Genomic DNA, 20,620 nt, shown 5'->3' with positions numbered 1-20,620 from the left:
CTCTTTTTTGGTTGTGTCTCTGCCCGGCTTTGGTATCAGGATGATGCTGGCCTCATAAAATGAGTTAGGGAGGATTCCCTCTCTTTCTATTGATTGGGATAGTTTCAGAAGGAATGGTACCAGTTCCTCCTTGTACCTCAGGTAGAATTCAGCTGTGAATCCATCTGGTCCTGGACTCTTTTTGGTTGGTAGGCTACTGATTATTGCCAGAATTTCAGCTCCTGTTATTGGTCTATTCAGAGATTCAACTTCTTCCTGGTTTAGTCTTGGGAGAGTGTATTTGTCGAGGAATTTATCCATTTCTTCTAGATTTTCTAGTTTATTTGCGTAGAGGTGTTTGTAGTATTCTCTGATGGTAGTTTGTATTTCTGCGGGATCGGTGGTGATATCCCCTTTATCATTTTTTATTGCGTCTATTTGATTCTTCTCTCTTTTTTTTTTTTTATTAGTCTTGCTAGCGGTCTATCAATTTTGTTGATCCTTTCAAAAAACCAGCTCGGGATAGCATTGGGAGATATACCTAAGCTAGATGACGAGTTAGTGGGTGCAATGCACCAGCATGTCACATGTATACATATGTAACTAACCTGCACATTGTGCACATGTACCCTAAAACTTAAAGTATAATAATAATTTAAAAAAAAGACTGATATTTAAAAGTGGTGAAGGCTTATAGGGAAAAGAAATTGCAACAAGATAAAAAGATAATCCACTATGCACACCAATGCTTATACACAGTGTTTTCTTATGTAGATTTTTAATGAACTACACAGGAAAGGGTTCCTTTTCGATTCTCCTAATATTGTAGTCAGAAATTCATTGCAAATGGCAGATAAATCTGATGGTGATTATCTGATACATATAAATTTTTAATTCACTATGATAACTGAGAATTAAATAATATTCTAACATAGCCAAATATCAATGGCATAAAGAAAAAGCAACTCTTCCCCACCCCTCACCAAGATGCTAAATGTTTGTAGAGGTGAAAAATGCCATACTATACCTTGATTTCTTCTATTTCATCTGGTACTATCTTGTATGCTGATATAGTCCCACCCAACCTGAAATTAGGAGAAGAAAATATTCTCAAAACCAGCAATAGTGTTTAAAATGTATGAAAGATTTCTGCCATTACCATCAGAATGCTACCAATAACTCCCAGTATTCACCCCAACAACCATGGAGGAAAAACAACCATTTTGTGCATATATTTTCCATGTATTAGTTTAAAAGAGGTAGATAATGAATGACTATTGACAGAGAAAATATTGTTAGATTTTTTACCCATAACTAAGCTCCTCTTATTGATGATTTTAATAATGCTGAAACTGTCACTTTTACTGCCGTATTCTGTCACAGCTAACATGCATCAGGAACTGACAGCAAACATGTTTGACTTTTTTAAGAAAGAAATCATAGCTTTTTACTTTTTATAGTAGCTTTAGGTTTACAGAAAAATAGAGCAGAAATTAGAGCATTCACATATTTCTGCCCTTCCTTCCCCATGACCTTGTTTCCCTTGTTATTAACATCTTGCATTAGTGTGACACATGTGCTACAACTGGTGAACGAACATTGATTCTGCTTCTTTTTTTACGTAATTTGAATAGGGAGTCAGAGAGACGTGTGTGCCCAGCACTGTCCAAGGGGAAGAGATGAGAATTCGGGAGTTACAGATAATTTAATCCTTAAAATGTTCTTTGCCTTGAGACAGTGATGCCATTATACGTCATATTCAACTGTTTGAAATATTTTTTAGAAAGCAACTAAGCTTTATATAAGATCATGTGCCAACTGTGTATCATATATTATCTAATTTAATCCTTGCAATTATCTCTATTATAAAAATGGGAAAATTGAGACAGAAACATTCAGTAATTTTTCTTAAGCAACTGAAGGAACTAGGAAATGAATGAGTTGAGATGTACAAAAGTGTAAAATACACACCAGATTTTGAATACTTAGTATGAAAAACAGAATAATTTTAATATATTGACTACATGTTAAAATAACATTTTGATATATTGGGTTAAATATATTATTAAAGTTAATTTCATCTGTTTTTACTTTTTAAAATGTGGCTACTTAGAAACTTTAAAATTACATACAGGGTTGTGGCCCCCAGCACATCTCTATCAGGTACTCTAGGCTATTAAACTCCAAATTACCTAACTGCCTTTGTTCTAATTCAGCGCTTACCAAGGAACCTTCTGATTACTTATCTGCACTTATAAGTATACCTCAGTAACAAAAAAAGGAGTATCATACGTAAGAGACTTATGTATTCTGGACCCTTTAGGATATCTCCTCTCCCAAATGTAAAATAATAAATACCATTCTGGTTTCCATTAAAAAAAAAGATACCCAACCAAATGATCCAAAAACTATGCTTATTACTTGGGTGACAAAATAATCTGTACACCAAACCCTCGGGACATGCAATTTACCCATGTAACAAACCTGCAAATGTACACCCTGAACTAAAATAAAAGTTGGAAAGAAAAAAAAAAGAACGTATAGGTTTTAATCTCACAATTTCAGTGGCATTCAGAGAAAAGGCATGTTTTAAAGCAAAGGTGTAGTATCTGAGCAGACCTGGAGTTACAATTTTACACAAGACAACAATGTTTGAAATTTTCCTACAGTATTTTAAATAAAGTATACTTTTATATCATTTCCAAATGTAGCTATATTTTTAAAATGTTTTAACAGAGAAAAAATAGTTGAAAAGTGGATACATGTTAATGGTACAAAGGAGGGACCTTTGATTTGCTCTATTTGAACAATAATATAATTATGGAAATCATATATAAAATCAGATAGAAATAAAAGTTGGGTTAGAGAAAAATTATGTTCAATTACTTTGAAAGTTCCCAACTGAGAATCACACACTGACTGAACAGGTCATTAAACAATATAAGTGGAATACAAGACTTTTTGAGAGAAAAAATATACATAGGTTTAAAAATGCTAAATTATATTATAAAAATGTCCAACCTCAGGAAGAAATGCGTTGAGAAGCACGACAAGTTTAATAAGTAAGGTAAAATATATGCATTATTGCTAACCATGTCTTACTAATGCTTTGGGATAAAAGTAAATTTTTTTTTCTAATTGCATTCAAATTATTTTCTTATTTGTGGTACAGCACTTTGAGGAAATAACAATGACAAGATTACAGAAATTAGTCTGAATGATATCTACATTAAAACCTTGTAGATATGGCCGGGCGCGGTGGCTCATGCCTGTAATCCCAGCACTTTGGGAGCCCGAGGCGGGCGGATCACGAGGTCAGGAGATCGAGACCATCCTGGCTAACATGGTGAAACCCTATCTCTACTAAAAATACAAAAAAGTAGCCGGGTGTGGTGGTGGGCGCCTGCAGTCCCAGCTACTCGGGAGGCTGAGGCAGGAGAATGGCATGAACCCGGGAGGCGGAGTTGCAGTGAGCCGAGATTGAGCCACTGCACTCCAACCTGGGCGACAGGGCGAGACTCCATCTCAAAAAAAAAAAAAAAAAAAAAAAAAAAACTTTCTAGATATGATGCTCAATTACCTTATGTCAGCAGTCAAGATGACAAAATATAAAGATTATCTAGGGCCCAATGATAGTAAAATACTCTATGTTTGACAATATTTAGAACTGACTTCAGGGCTAGGTTCACTGGCTCACGCCAATAATCCCAGCACTTCTGGAATCCAAGGTGAGAGGATTTCTTGAGGCCAGGAGTTTGAGACCAGCCTATGCAACACAGTGAGAGTCCACTTCTTTAAAACAAACAAAAAAAAGAACTCTTACATCAGTGATGTGTAAGTTCTAAAGCAAAAGAGAGTCACGACCTAGGAAAGATATTATTAAAGATTTCCCCAAATCATCTGGTGCGGTGGCTCATGCCTGTAATCCCAGCACTTTGGGAGGCCGAGATGGGAGGATCACGAGGTCAGGAGTTCAAGACCAGCCTGACCAACATGGTGAAACCCCGTCTCTACTAAAAATACAAAAATTAGCTGGGCGTGGTGGCGAGCACCCGTAATCCCAGCTACTCAGGAGGCTGAGGCAGAAGAATAGCTTGAACCCGGGAGACAGAGGTTGCAGTGAGCTGAGATTGCGCCATTGAAACCCAGCCTGAGCAATAGAGCGAGGCTCCGTCTCAAAAAAAAAAAAAAAAAAAGATTTCCCCAAATCAAAAATTCCTAAGATTTGTTAGAAAGCAAGTCTATTATTGGCAGTGATTTATTTTCTTGTGTCTAATATTTCTGGTACTCAACTATCCCCATGTTATCAGCCTTCAGCCTGTGAAAAGCACGCAAAAGAACTTATTACCTGCCATCTTTTTCCTGACATACACTTCATGGGACAAGTCTGCCCGATTGCACTTCCCAAAGTAGGAGTAGCTCTGCTCTTTACATGCCACTCAGTCTGCACAGCGGCAGTCTTCTCTGGGGAGACCAGAAAACCTAGGCTACTGAGCCAAATGGTAGAGGAAGGAAATGGTCTGGATTAAACAGCAATGAAGGAAGTAAAGGAAGAAGGGGGAAAAAAAAGTCCTGTGATTTCAAGGGCAAGGCATTAATTTTTCTAAAGTGCTCATATATTAAATCATATCTAGGATAAACTTCAACATTGGGGCAAACGGTATCTGTATAATTGTACACATACCAAGGGGACGGTTTTAAAGACCAAATTTATTTGAAAGTATACGTTATTGCTTTTTGTTTAAAAATTTATTTTCATTTTCACACTATATCTGATTCTTCTAAAAATTCTTTGATTTTTAAAAACATATATCAGAAATAACAGGGCTGAGGTGATAAATTTCATTATTTTAAAGAAGAATATGAAATTGGTCATTAGGATGGGGAATACTCTATTCAGGAAGAAATAGTGCTAAACGTGTACCTGTGAATTTGGCCATTATTCATTATTCGAATACATCTTTGAAATAATCTGACAAGAAGAAATGATGTTTCCAATCTCTCTGACTTCCTCTTTTGCCCTTCTCTCTGCTTTTAAGGCTCATGTGATTATATTGGGCTCAACCAAATAATGCGGGATAACCTCCCTATTTTAAGGTCATCTGCAATGTCACTTTTGCTATATAACCTAACTTATTCACAGGAGTAACAAAAGCAGGTGAAAGTCATGAGTCCAAAATTCTGCCTACCACGAGGTCAAAGATTAAAAGCAGGGCCTGCTATCTAAGTAATCAGATGGGACTGTGGCCCACCTATGGTTAACTGTGGCTTCTCCCAGAATGGTAGCAGTGGAGATGGAGAAAGTAAATAATTTCAAGATATATTCTAGAGGTTAGAATTAACAGGAATTAATGATGGATTACATACACATTGAGAATTTGGACAAAAGAGGAGTCAAGGGTCAACACAGGGTTATCTGTCTTTTTTTTTTTTTTCCTAAAGGACAAAGGTTTATTTTTTTGTTTCACAAAAGTGGAATTTTCAAAAGATAACGTTTACAATAGTTTACAAAATATCAAATAGTCAATTCTCAGTAGTTGTAATAGTTATTTCTATAAAATTGCCACACACTCTGAAAGAGCTAATACTGAACCACTGCTCCTAGGAGAAATAAAAGTTTAGATTGCTGCAAGCCTGTGGTCACAACATTTTCATCAATAGATAGATATATAAACTTGAGTTATGTGTGTTTCTGTTTGAAGACACCCAATCAAAAAACCAAACACCGCATATTCTCACTCATAGGTGCGAATTGAACAATGAGATCACATGGACACAGGAAGGGGAACATCACACTCTGGGGACTGTTGTGGGGTGGGGGGAGGGGGGAGGGATAGCATTGGGAGATATACCTAATGCTAGATGACGAGTTAGTGGGTGCAGCACACGAGCATGGCACATGTATACATATGTAACTAACCTGCACAATGTGCACATGTACCCTAAAACTTAATATATGATAAAAAAAAATTGCAATTTTGCAATGCCACCTTGGCCGTAAGTCCAGCATCCACATATGCCTTGATCTCTTTCTGGCTATATTCTATTCTACTGGGCAATTTACCTGCCCTTGTGCCAGTGCGGTAACTGGTCGAGCGAGTTCTCGCAGGTTAACTTCTTCAAGAATGTCTTGTTAATTCAGGGTTATCTGTTATCTCTGGGTGGCTACTATTCACCCAAGAAAAGACAATATGACGAGAAGGACATGAAAATTAAAGGTATATTTAATAGAGTATTCGATTGATTACATAATGTAAGCTAGGTAAGGAGGGAAATGAAAGAGGTAAGGAGCCAATCAAAAAGAATTGGAGGTCCACGGTGATCAAAGATTTATCACAGTTCAATTACTAGAGGGAGTTAAATAGAAAGAAGTGACAACTGAAGAGAGTGATAACTGAAATGAAAGTTATAGAGGAGTGATAGTTATTAGTAATGAAAGGAGCTAGGGTGTGACCATTGGAGCCAGTGGCTTAGGAAGGATGAAGGACATCATTGGGTGAAAGATGGTGAAAGAACTGAGAGGCCTGAGAATCCTTTTATTCATCCCATTTGAATCTTTCCAGCAGTCCTTTCTTATCTATACGGGATATGTTCCAAGATCTATACTGGATGCCTGAAACTGAAAATGTACTAAACTCTCTACATACTGTTTTTTCCTACACACACACACCTATGATAAACTTTACTTAATTATTAACAGTAATAGATTAAGAACAATAATAAAATAAAACAATGATAACAATATACTATAAGTTATTATTTTTATAATAACTTTCTCTCAATATTAATATTTTTGGATGGCACTTGACTGCACATAACTGAAACGACAGAAAGTGAAACTGTGGATGGGGGGACTACTACGGTATTAATATTTTTGGAATATCAGTGTTTCATGGAACATAGTGTGGCAAATGCAGAATCAATAAACATGCACATTTTAGTTACTACTAAAGGTAAAAAGCTGTGATATGTGTATATAACATATTGCACAATAGAAGGGTTGAAATAGATTCTTGTTACAATTTTCTACAGTAACTTTCATGGTTTATAGGTTTCATTAATATTAAAGGTACCATTATAGTAAAATCCAAAACTATAGAAACTCTGGTCCAGACAACCTAGGCAATACCATTCTGGATGCAGGAATGAGCAGAGTTAGTGACAAAGATGCCAAAAGGAATTGCAACAAAAGCAAAAATTGACAAATGGGATCTAATTAAACTAAAAAACTTCTGCAGAGCAAAATAAACTATCAACAGATTAAACAGGCAACCTACAGAATAGGAGAAAATTTTTGCAAGCTATGCATCTGACAAAGGTCTAATAGCCAGCATCTATAAGGAACTTCAACAAATGTACAAGAAGAAAATGAACAACTCTATTAAAAAGTGGGCAAAGGATATAAATAGATGCTTTTCAAAAGAAGACATACATACAGCCAACAATCATGAGAAAAAGCTCAACATCACTGATCATTAGAGAGATGCAAATCAAAACCATAATGAGATACCATCTCACACCAATTAGAATGGCTATTATTAAAAAGTCCAAAAATAACAGATGCTGGTGAGGTTGCAGAGAAAAAGGAACATGTATACACTGTTGGTGGGAGTATAAATTAATTCAAGCATTGCGGAAAGCACCGTGGCAATTCCTCAAAGAGCTGAAACAGAACTCTCATTTGATCCAGCAATCCCACTACTGGGTATATACCCAAAGAAATATAAATCGTTATATCATAAAGACACATGCAACGTATATGTTCATCACAACACTATCCACAATAGCAAAGACACAGAATCAACCTAAATGCCCATCAATGGTAGACTGAATAAAGAAAATGTACATATACATATACACCATGAAATACTATGCAGCCACAAAAAAGAACAAGATAATGTCCTTTGCAGGGACTTGGATGGAGCTGGAGGCCATTATCTTAAGTGAACTAATGCAAGAACAGAAAGCCAAATACCACATGTTCTAATTTATAAGCAGGAGCTAAATGATGAGAACACATGAACACATAGAAGGGAACAACACACACCGGGGTCTATTGGAGGGTGGAAGACGGGAGGAGGGAGAGGATCAAGAAAAATAATTAATGGGTACTAGGCTTAATACCTGGGTGACAAAATAATCTGTACAACAAACCCCTATGACATGAGTTTACCTGTATAACAAATCTGAACATGTACCCTTGAACATAAAATAAAAGTTAAAAAAGGTAACATAATTTTTAAAAACTCTACATAGGCTCAAATATTTAAAAATACTTTTTAAAACTATATCAGATAAGATCCTGACTAACATACACTTTAAGAAGTGAAAGATTAGAATTAAAATTTGGTATATTTCATAGATGATTGGTAATTATTGTAGGTACTCTAGCATTATCTATATGCTTCACTGTCTTGAGACAGAATCATACCTCTTCAGCCTCATGTCCCAGTATTACAATCGTCCCTTATTCCACTTCAGTATACTTATTAAAGTTTCAACAATTCAAAGTCACAAATAGCTGCCCAAAGATACAAATTTTTACACATATCCACATTTTTCTACACACTGTCTAAAATGTTCTTCTCTAATGATCCTAGCAGACAAGTATATATGTATATTATATATATAGTATACGTATCTTTTAAAATCTAGACGACTAGTCAATTATCTTGAGTTGTTTCAAACATTCATCTTCTATTCCCTTAATGCATCCTTCACCCCATGAATGCTTAGAAATAAACTCCTATATTCTACCTTTACTGAGTACCTATTTCTATGGTTTTACTGTATAACTCTGGACTATAATGTCTTCCTCTTCTGCAAAGTTGTTCTATCCATTATTGAAAGTGGGGTACTAAAGCCCCCAACTATTATTGTTTAATTGTCTGTCTGTCCCTTTAATTCTGCCAGTTTTTGCTTAATGTATTTTGAAACTCTGTTTTTGGGTACATGTATGTTTATAATTGTCATGTATGCCTAATGGATTGATCCTTTTATCATCATAAAAAGTCCTGCTTTCAAAGTCACTGCTCATATAGCTCTTTTCCTGCAGAATATTGAAAAGTCAGGAATAGTGTCAGCTATTCATTTCTGTGTTCCAAAACTTGGCCTAGTGTTTAGAATAAAGCAGGTATGAAATAGAATTTTTAAAAATCAATTTTAGTTTTCAATAACTTAAAAGAGAGATTATCTTCTCTATAATCATCTGGTAATCTATTCTAATTTCTCATGCCATATACTTTTTTTCCATTAGGATAAATAATTTTAAAACTCCCTCATTTTGCAATTTATATTGATGTTATTTTGCTCTGTCTTGCATGTATATACCAAACAGATGGCCATACTCCTCTCCATATATACCAACTCTGTATACTAGTTGGTTAGATCATTACTCAGTTTTATCTTTAGTAACTTAAAAATTCCCAGTTAACTTTAATCTTCCTCATAAATTTGATTTTCTAAATCTTTGTATATTTTAGAGGTTTTCCTCTGAGTTATCTCCAAATTCTTCAAATAGATCCATATATTTATGAATAATTTTCATTTGTGTACTATTATTTATATTGTTTTGAACTTTTGTTGGCAATTCGTAAAACACTATTCATTATGACTATTAGATCTTTTCCTGATATGTGCAAGTATTCTCTTCTTTAGTCTGTTTAGTCATCTCAGATACACTATTGATAACTGCAATTATTTAATAATCCTTTGAACACTTACTACATACAAACATTGTTGTATGTTGCTGGGAATCAGTGATATAATTTATTATAAATGTATGCTATTTAACTGTGGCTTGGACATGACTGATACTTGACAACTCTTCTGATTATCTTTGTAGCTGGCTCACACATCTACTGGCATGAGTAGCAACTATTCCGTTTATTCTGAAAGCAATTACTCTATGTATTCTGATAGCAATTCCAAATTTCCATTTTCCCCCTAAGCTTATAACACATACCCATATCAGATAAATTTGCCCTCTGTCTTACTAAGAAGACAGAAGTTACTGATAAAACACTTTCTACTTCTCTAGGCTCAATCCCAGAATTATTCACTATTTTCACTCTTCATTTTCCCTCTTTTCTTTTTTTTTTTTTTTTTCTGTTCAAAAAGCGAGTCTGCAATAGAACAAATAGAAAGGATGATAATCTCTCTAGTACTCCTTGGCAGCCTGGATTAGAAACTGAAAAAGTACCAGGGAAAGATATACAGGGCTAGTGACTAGCAATGTAAAAATTAAAGAAATTCAGGGGAAGGACAGCCCATTGTCCTTCCTTAGAAGTCCTAGGGAGCCTCTTCCCATTAGAAGTCTGAGGGGACTAACTAAGGGAATTATAGATTCAAGTCTTTAGTCTTATATACTTACTACAGAGAGTGAATATAATGAGTAGAAATGCGTAATAGGCATCTTGAAATATTTTAAATAAATCTTTTCTTTCATATTACTTTTCTTTTTCAACACATAGTTTGAAAAATTAAAAGCTTATATGAAGTAACTCTACTTATAAAGACAAAGGTGGAATTTGAGGAGAGGATTAGGACCAAGGAAGTTGAGAAGCTAACTATATTGAAAGCCATCAACAGGGACGCTAAGTTTTTTTAAAAATGGGGGGAAATAATGGACTTAGGAAAGAAAACTATAGTTGGTAAAATCACTGTTCTAAAAAGACTGGAAGCAGAGGCAAGATTAATGAAATTTTTTCTTTGTTTTGCAGCAGCTTGACTACAGTATACCTGGCTTTGTGTGTGTTTGCACATATGTATGTATGTGTATATATACATATACAAACACATGTGCATATAAAATTTATCTTGCTTCCTAAATTTTTGCTTTGATGCTTTCAATTTTACAAAATTCTCAATCAGTATTTTTTCAAATATTGTTTCTATATCATTCTGTCTATCCATCCTTCTTTTGGGAATATTGCACAAATGTCAGTTATTTTTACCATGTGCCATACGTATCTTAGGTTCCTTTGGTTTTACCTTTCATTTTTCTGTGTGTATTTCAATGTGGCATTTTCTAATGAACTGTCTGTTCATTTACTGTTTTTGTGAGTCTAGTGTTTCATTCAATATATCTAAATGCAATGAGTAACTAGTAAATATCTAAAACTATAGTTTTTCTCTTTTTTTCAGTATTTTGCCTTCACTCCTAAAGTGTAGTCCTTCTAGGGTTCCAACTAAGTTTACCAAGGCCCTTCTGCCTTGGCAGGGCTTAAAATTCAGCCTTTCTTCTTAGTCCCATGCACCTCCTGAAATCTCTGCTAACTTGTTCAGACACTCAAATTCTGTTTATTGATGAATTTCCTGGAATTTCAACTTGTACATATACATATGCATCTTAAGAGCTGGCTAAAGTTGGCTAATGACAGAAAGATTGTCATTTTCCACTTGGATTCCAGTCTTCCACACTAGGAATTGAAAAATGCTCTCAGGGAAAAAGTTAGGGTAAATGTGGAGTTCATTTCCAGTGCTTCTATTCTGTTCTCCCAAGAACCATTATCCCTCAAGTCCTGCTTAAACTGGTTGTTCTCCAATTCCTTCAAACAATTGTTTTATGTATTCTAGCTAGTTTTCATAGAAGCTACTCCACCACAGGTGGAACTGGAGTCTCTATTTAATCAATTCCTGAATAAGAAAGATTGAAATGAAGAACTAGTACATATCAGCTGAAGTTAATTATCCAGATATATATTTCATTCTAAATAGATGACTATATGTAGATAATAAATTATACAGCTTTTCCATCATAGTGTACATTCAGTCATTCTTTTTTTTTTCTGTTTCAGTAGTACATGTGCAGGTTTGTCATATAGGTAAATTGTGCGTCATGGGAGTTTGGTGTACAGATTATTTTGTCACCCAGGTAATACGCAGAGTACCCAATAGGTAGTTTTTCGTTCCACTCCCTCCTCCCACCCTCTACCCTCAAGTAGGCCCCACTGTCTGTTGCTCCTGTCTTTGAATCCATGTGTACTCCATGTTTTCCACTTATAAGTGAGAACATACGGCATTTGGTTTTCTGTTCCTGCATTAGTTCACTTAACATAATAGCCTCTGGCTCCAAAGGCTGCTGCAAAAGACATGCTCTCATTCCTTTATCCAGTCTACCACTGATGGGCATTTAAATGATTCCATGTCTTTGTTATTGTCAATAGTACTGCAATGAACTTACATATACATGTGTGTTTATGGCAGAAGAATTTATATTCCTTTGGTTATGTATCCAATAATGGAATTGCTGGGTCAAATGGTAATTCTGTTTTTTTCTTTCAAATATTGCCACACTGCTTTTCACAATGGGCAAATTAATTTACACTCCCATCAGCAGTGAATAAGTGTTCCCTTTTCTGTGCAACCTTGTCAGTACCTGTTCTTTTTTGACTTGAGATACCCTCTCACATCAGAAAGAATGGGAAGTGGTCAATCAAGGTTCACCCTTCTGTTCTTTTTACTCAAAGATAATCAACAGATTTCTAAAAGATTAACAGTGGTTCTGACATCACATGTTATTTTTCATTTTTTTATTATCTGGATATATAGTAGTTCAGGTTGATAGTATTTTTAAATCATTTAAAGCAACTAAGTGCATACATGCTTAACTATTAAATATGATTATCTTCTTTTTTAAAATAATAATGACTGTCCTCACAGGAGGGCAAAAGAAAAAAGTTTTTAAAAAGTCAAGTAATTCTTTAATTTTTATTATATTTTAAACTTAGAATACTAATCATGTACAATAAGTAATTATATTATCTTTATATTTTAAATTTGTGCTATTATTTCTATACAATAGATTTACTGATTTTTCTTGATGATATATAGCTACAGAAGTTATTCTCTATATTTTTCCTTCAGCTTTTTAAAGGTCTCAATCCATTCTGTGCTTAACTTTTTAGACCTGTTTCAAGTTTGTACCACTTCTCTGGATTTATCTCAGAATACTGTGTGAAAATTAAAAGCATAAAATCTAGAGTCAGTTTACCTAGATCAGAATCTCAGCCCTGACCTGGCACGTATTTGTTGTGTAAGTTTAGGCACGTTTTCTTAATTCATCTTGCATCAGTTTCCTGATCCGTAAAATGATTAAAAAAAAAAACCTACCATATAGGATTAACTATATGAGTTAATCTAGGCCAAGTTTACAGAACAGTACTTGGTACAGTCCTCCCTGGGTATCCTTGAGGGACTGGTTTCAGAACACCTTCCCTCCCCCTGCAGATAACAACATACACTAATGCTCAAGTCCCTTATATAGAAAGACACAGTATTTGTGTGTGACCCACGAACATCCTCCCATCATATACTTTAAATCAGTGGTTCCCAAACTTTTTGGCACCAGGAACTGGTTTCATGGAAGACAATTTTTCCAAGGATTGGGGGGTTGGGGGCATGGTTTTGTGATGATTCAAATGCATTACATTTATTGTGCACGTTATTTCTATTCTTATTACATTGTAATATATAATGCAATAATTATACATGTCATCACAATGTAAAATCAGTGGGAACCCTGAGCTTGTTTTGCTGCAGCTAGACAGTCCCATCTGGGGGTGATGGGAGACAGTGGCAGATCTTCAGGCATTCGATTCTCATAAGGCGCACACAATGTAGGTCCCTCACATGTGCAGTTCACAATAGGGTTTGTGCTTCTATGAGAATCTAATGCTGCCACTGATCTGACAAAAGGTGGAGCTCAGGCGGTAATGGGAGTGGTTGTAAATACAGATGAAGTTTTGCTCACGTCTGCCGCTCACGTCCTGCTGTGTGACCTGGTTCCCAACCAGCCATGGACCACTACTGTTCAATGGCCCAGGGTTTGGGGAACCCTGCTTGAAATCATCTCTAGATTACTCATGATACCTAATACAATATGAATATTATATAAAATGTCCAACAATGATAGACTGGATTAAGAAAATGTGGCACATATACACCATGGAATACTATGCAGCCATAAAAAATGATGAGTTCATGTCCTTTGTAGGGACATGGATGAAATTGGAAACCATCATTCTCAGTAAACCATCGCAAGAACAAAAAACCAAACACCGCCTATTCTCACTCATAGGTGGGAATTGAACAATGAGATCACATGGACACAGGAAGGGGAATATCACACTCTGGGGACTGTGGTGGGGTCGGGGGAGGGGGGAGGGATAGCATTGGGAGATATACCTAATGCTAGATGACACGTTAGTGGGTGCAGTGCACCAGCATGGCACATGTATACATATGTAACTAACCTGCACAATGTGCACATGTACCCTAAAACTTAAAGTATAATAATAATAATAAAAAAAGAAAAAAAAAAAAAGATTAAAAAAAAAATAGTTGTAATATGGTATTTTTTATTACTTTTATTGTCTTTCTCTAAATATTTTTGAACTGCAGTTGTTTGAATTCACAGATGTGGAGCCCATGGATGTGGAGGAACCCACAGATGTGGACGGCTGACAGTATATAGTATGCATGTAAATAAGTATTAGGTATTACTATTTGCCTTTAGCCAAAATTGAAGATAGAAGACATTCTGATTTATATTACCATATAATCTATGACTTAAAGACCAAAATAATTTTGGAAAATAAATGTAGCTATTGTTTTAAAATATGGTCAAAATTGATTCCTAAAAGCCTTTGATTAGAAACTCCCCTGTTTAACACTGGTAAATACAGTCATCCTTAGTGAGGTTAAATGGGTACCTTTTTACCTCACCATTCTTTTTTTCTACTATTTTGGTAAATGTGGCCACCATACTTTTGAGAAGAGTCTTTGCTTCCACTTTACTCGGGAAGAAAAGAGAATTAGAATCTACTGAGCATTTCTAATAGGCATTGTGTTAGGCATTTTTACATATACTGTTTCAGCACTATACCTGAGGTTCAGAAAAGTTAACTTGCTCAAGGTTATGAACAGAAAACAGTCTGCTACTTAGAACAATGTCATCCCAGAGCCCAGATTTTTTTTTTTTTTTTTTTACTATGTGACACTTCTCTGCAAATCCATATATTTCTTAGAATTAAATTTTCATATATAAATGCTGTCATAAAGACAAGATTGTTCTTCAGATTTTACACCATGGAAAGGTAATTATCATTAAAGATATCGACCATAATATATTCCTCATTTTAAAGAACTTTCACATAGGTTGGCCAGTGGAATATAATCAGTTTGTATTATTATGCCTTACATAATTCTTAAAGAGAAAGTAGTTTACAAAGAAGCAAATTAGGAAATCTTTCAAGAGCTTTAACATTCTGACATGAACCATTGGTAATTAGTATATTAATTAGAAGCCTTTATTTAGAAATATGCCATTTCTCTTATTTGCAGTTTTATTTAGTGGTCATATTTTTAATGAACACTAGTAAAATTCCATTGTAATTCTTTTTTTTTTTTAACCTTTCAAAAGGTTTTATTTTATGTGCAAATAATGAACAGATGGCGTACCCATAAATTCTACTTTCCAAAAACAGGAGCTTTTTAAAAGAAAACCACATAATAACTTTTAAAAGGCACTGGGATTCCTCTGCTTCTACATCATTGCTAGGCTAGAAAAATAAAGTATGCTCTACCAGGAATCGCAAGTTAAAACTGAGTATTCTCCCCAGTACTCTGGAAGGCCGAGACGGGTGGATCACGAGGTCAGGAGATCAAGACCATCCTGGCTAACACGGTGAAACCCAGTCTCTACTAAAAATACAAAGAAATTAGCTGGGAGTGGTGGTGGGTGCCTGTAGTCCCAGCTACTGGGGAGGCTAAGGCAGGAGAATGGCGTGAACCCAGGAGGCGGAGCTTGCAGTGAGCCAAGATCACGCCACTACACTCCAGCCTGGGCCACAGAAAGAGACTCCATCTCAAAAAAAAAAAAAAAAAAGAACTGAGTATTTCTCCAAAGTGGAAATTCTAGAGTGTAGTGTCACTCCAGGCAAAGATTATTCAGTTCTCATCCCCAACATCCACAACTACCTATCAGAAGGGTTAAACCAGGTCAAAGCAGTGCAGCATAATTAAGCTTCATCAAACAATGTCATTATGCTCTTCTAAGATGCAAATAAACGAAAACAGGAAGTACTAAAATCAAAATAATATTTGACACTGTCATACAAATTGTTAGTTTCTTGTTGTATCCCCCCTTCTATAATATTAATAAAGGGAATATTTTACTGTAAATAATATTTTATCACTAGCCATGAATTTTTGTCACTAGTTATTATACAAATGCTGCCTAGTGCCATTATCCAAATGGCATAACCATTTTACATCCACAATTCACTTCTATAGTTATAAGTAGAATTTTCATGATTTACATTAAGTATATCTATCAGTGAAAATTTAGCACTGAGATGCAATCTAATATCCGTAATATCTGATGTTTTGTAGATGGAAATGTAGGAAAGATATATTAATCACTTTTCATTTAAGTGACCTATGTAAAAAATAAACTAATAATTTAGCAGTTCCAAGTCTCCAAAGGGCATCTTCAAATATACATAAAAGAAATGGTTACAGAGATTTTTAAGAAGCATCTTCCATATCCACATCCTCTGGTAACTGCTATACCATTTTCTCTTCCAACTGCTTCCCTTTGCCTGCAAAAGAGGCTCGGATAAGATGGATGTTTTGCTTGACTTCTTTGATATCCTGAACTTTCTGTCGCTCTTTTTCTTCAATCTGTTCATTATAAATTTCGCTTGGCATTTCTGCTTGATCTCTTCAACTCTCTTCATTGCATCAATACTTTTATTCCATAGCTCTCTCTGTATTTGATAGGTTCATTTCTATGTTTTTCAAATTCAAATGAATTATCCACTATAAGTGCTTTGCCAGCTGCTTTATGGAATGCTTTGGTTCACCTAACTTTGCGAGGATTATGCTTCTTTTTAACGTTTTTATAACATTTAGATTTACAAAATCTGAACACCTTGCAATCATTGTGGATGAACATCATGCTGTGGCCAGGGTAGATGGGCCCTGAACAGAAATAACACTTCTCGATATGCATGTTGAACCCGCGTGGGCCCCCACCAACCCATTGTAATTATTTCATATAATATGGATACAATAAACATTCATTAAAAACTTATAGATTATATGACAATTTGACAGACCTCATATAAATTAACCTCTTACAATATACAAAGCGTGCAAAACATAATTAAATGAGATTACAGAGTAATTTTTAAACTACACAAGAAACACTGTGGCTCTCTAAAGATTATAAAGACTCTTGATACACTACTAAAATTTTATCTATTTATTAAAATAATACTTCTAAACACTTTTGTTCTTTCACTGAATATTCACTGAGAACTTATTATGTGCTAGGCATTATTTCATGTGCTAGATAGAAAGTTAACAAAACACATATAGTAATTGTATTCATGGATCTTACATTCTACCGGGGGAAATGGGTAGTAAATGAATAAGTAGAAAATTTCAAATATTGTAAGTGCTGTAAAGAAAACATTATAAAGAGGATGATGTGACATAATGCATGAAAACAACTTTAGATTGGGTGGTGCTATTTAACCTCTGAGAAAGCAATAATTTAAACAGAGGCCTGTGATTATCTTAGTAATTGTATACATGTAAAATAATAAATCTATTCTAAAAATATACAAAAACTATAATTCAGAAGTTTCTCTAATTTAAATTTTCAATATTTGATTTTAATTAGTTATATTACATATTTCACTTATGTATACAGTGCACAGACCCTATAAAGCAGTCACACAATGGAAACTACAAAACAACCAGCTAACAACTTCACCATATGATCAAAGCAGCCTCATATATCAATATTAACCTTGAATGTAAACAGTCTAAATGCTGCACTTAAAAGTAACAGAGTTGCAAGTTGGATAATAAAACCAGATTCATCCCTCTGCTATCTTCAACAGACCCATTTCACGTTACACCAACAGGCTTAAAGTAAAGAGCTGGAGAAATACTATGCAAATGGAAAACAAAAAAGAGCAGGGGTTGCTATTCTTACCTCAGATAAAAAAGACTTTAAACCAACAACAGTAAGTATGTTTAACTTATGGTAATATTGTTATTTGCATCAGTGCAATAAGAATCCATTTTCTTTTGCAACAGGACACAATTAGAGAAACTGGTTGTTTTACCAAGGCTTTGAGTAGAAGGTTATGCCTTCCTTTAAGGAGTCAAGTTTGACTTGCAGAGCCCCTTGGGAAAACTGGCCTCATACCTTGTCTACACAGTCCCTATACAGGGTTCCTAACCTGTGGTGAGTAAAGAATGTCACTTTCTAATAGACCCAGGAACCCCAAGTTATCTTGGGACCTCAAGAGTGGAATTTACCCAAATCACAGGCATTTGAGGGTAGAAACCCATGGCTGGGCTCGGCTTTAAGAAAGTCTTATCTGAGATTCCTTGTGGAACAGAGTTCCATCAAAGCCAATTTTAAAAGCCTACGTGAAAAATAATTATTCTTGCTGCACTTTATGCAAATATTCAAGCCAAGTATAAGATTAAAATTTATTTTGCAAACAACTCAGTCCTATCATGATTTGTTTTTGACAAAAATGAGGACTAGAGAGAGAAAAATTATGTTTCAAAACTTATCATACACTTGCCATTAAATTCTAATCTCATTATTTGTTTTTAAGTTTTTGCCTACGTTTTAGACTAACCCTGTGAACCAAACAGTGGTCTCTGGCTGCAGCTCACAAGAAACAGAGGGATGGGTAAAGTAAAATTCTGGATCAATATTCTAGTTCTGGGCAATTATCCTGCAAATCCTGCCAGGTGATAGAAATAAATGGGGTACCCATAACCCGGAGGTTTCTTTGGGAAAATAAGGCCAAGGGAGCTAACCAAAGCCAAGCCCCATGCACCCAAACCTTAGCAGGTACAACTACAGCCACCAGTTATCCTGGCATGGTGGCAGCCTCAGGATTTCTAAGCTGTCCTTACCCCCTTTTTTCATTTTGATACATGTCTTCTAATAACCCAGTTTCTCTCTTCTCGCCTTCAGGCCATCAAACTCAAAATGGTCACGCAACTGTAGCTTCAAACGATGGCTCCCTTTTACTGGGGATCCTTAGACAAGCCTCTGAGGGAGATTTGACTGCTATTTTCCCCAAACAGTGCCCTCTATCAGCAGAAAGCAGTTAAGATCGTCTTCATTCCTATTCTAATGGCAGTTAGAGGTACCTTTTCAGAGGGGGAAAATTAGAGTGATAGGAGGCAGCCAAATGCCTAGGCAGATAGGGGGTGGGTCCCCTGTGAAATCCCACTTTCAAGCCAAAGACAGTTTAAAGCCTGAAAGCCAAGCTACAAGTTTAACCTTTGGACTGGATCGATAACTTGTCTTCCTGTGTGGCAGCCTTTCCTCTGACTGATCCCCACCTTCACCTACTTTATATATACCTACCCTTTCCTAATTGGTTTTCTACACTGTCGTGCCCACCTTTGAGTGGTGTCTTCACTTTAACCTTTTTTGCATAATCACAAACCAATCAGCACATACTCCCCATTCTAAGTCCATAAAAGGCCCAGGACCAGCTACACGGGGAATTTTCCCACCTTTGGGTGGGGGAAACACCCCTCCCCACCACATCCCCTCTTGGCTGAGAATTTTTCCTTTCACTTAATAAATTCTATTCCACTCACTGTACAGTGTCCACATGCCTGCCTAATTCTTCCTGGTTGTGAGAAAAAGACTTGGACCTAGCTGAATTAAGGAGCAGAAAGACCACAACACATTCACATGGTAAAAATAACTATAATGTTAGGGAAGTGCATACAGTAAAAAGTTTTCCTCCCTACCCTGCCAACCAGATTTTTATGTGTCCCTCTATGCATATAAAAGCAATTGCAGCCAGGTGTGGTGGCTCACGCCTGTAATCCCAACACTTTGGGAGGCTGAGGTGGGCAGATTACTTGAGGCCAGGAGTTTGAGACCAGCCTGGCCAACATGGTGAAACCCTGTCTCTACTAAAAATACAAAAGTTAGCTGGACAGGGTGGTACGCGCTTGTTATCCCAGCTACTCGGGAGGCTAAGGCAGGAGAATCGCTTGAACCCAGGAGGTGGAGGCTGCACTGAGCTGAGATAGTGCCACAGCACTCCAGCCTGGGTGACAGAGTGAGAATTGGTCTCAATCAATCAATAAATGCAATTGCACTTATATCTCCCATTTATATTTGTGTGTGTGTGTGTGCGTGTATATATATATATATCCCTTTTTAATGCAAGTATACACACTATTGTGCATATTTTTCTGACAGCAATTAAGGTTTACATATACTTTTGAAAAAGATGATTTTATGTAATAAATACTTCTAGTTCTTGGAGATTGTATCAACTTTAGTTCAAATAAAATATACCAATGAGTTTTAATTTTTTCATAACTCCATGGTTTTCCTGGATTCCCCACCTCCACCTCATACATAACCACTCTCAAATAAAGTATCTTGCTCTACACAATTTCCTTCTCCTTTCACTCCCCTATTACCGCTAACTGCATTGGTTTTAATGAAATAATAGAAAATTTAATGAGCTGAACTCAAGTATCTGTGGCATATGTAAGAAAATAACTAATTCAGGTAATTCAAAGACCACTATGTGCTACTTCATTAATTGTCAGGGATTTCTATTTC

At 35.7% G+C, this 20,620-nt stretch overlaps 1 protein-coding gene and 1 pseudogene across 20 annotated transcripts in view; both read right to left on the bottom strand.

Annotated features, from left to right (window-relative positions):
- GPHN (gephyrin) overlaps positions 1 to 20,620 on the bottom strand; it is a 1,227,209-nt gene that overhangs the window by 957,828 nt on the left and 248,761 nt on the right. For all 20 annotated transcript variants that reach the window (XM_047430879.1, XM_011536340.4, XM_017020913.3 and 17 more), the window contains exon 3: positions 1,007 to 1,064. In XM_047430879.1, the coding sequence (XP_047286835.1) occupies positions 1,007 to 1,064 (58 nt within the window). The remainder of the gene's footprint in view (positions 1 to 1,006; positions 1,065 to 20,620) is intronic.
- LOC107984694 (probable ribosome biogenesis protein RLP24) lies at positions 15,821 to 18,420 on the bottom strand (annotated as a pseudogene).

Source organism: Homo sapiens, chromosome 14 (genome assembly GCF_000001405.40).
Source record: "Homo sapiens chromosome 14, GRCh38.p14 Primary Assembly".
NCBI lineage: Eukaryota > Metazoa > Chordata > Mammalia > Primates > Hominidae > Homo > Homo sapiens.
Note: the sequence above shows the minus strand (reverse complement) of the source record. Positions and strands in the feature narration are given on the sequence as shown.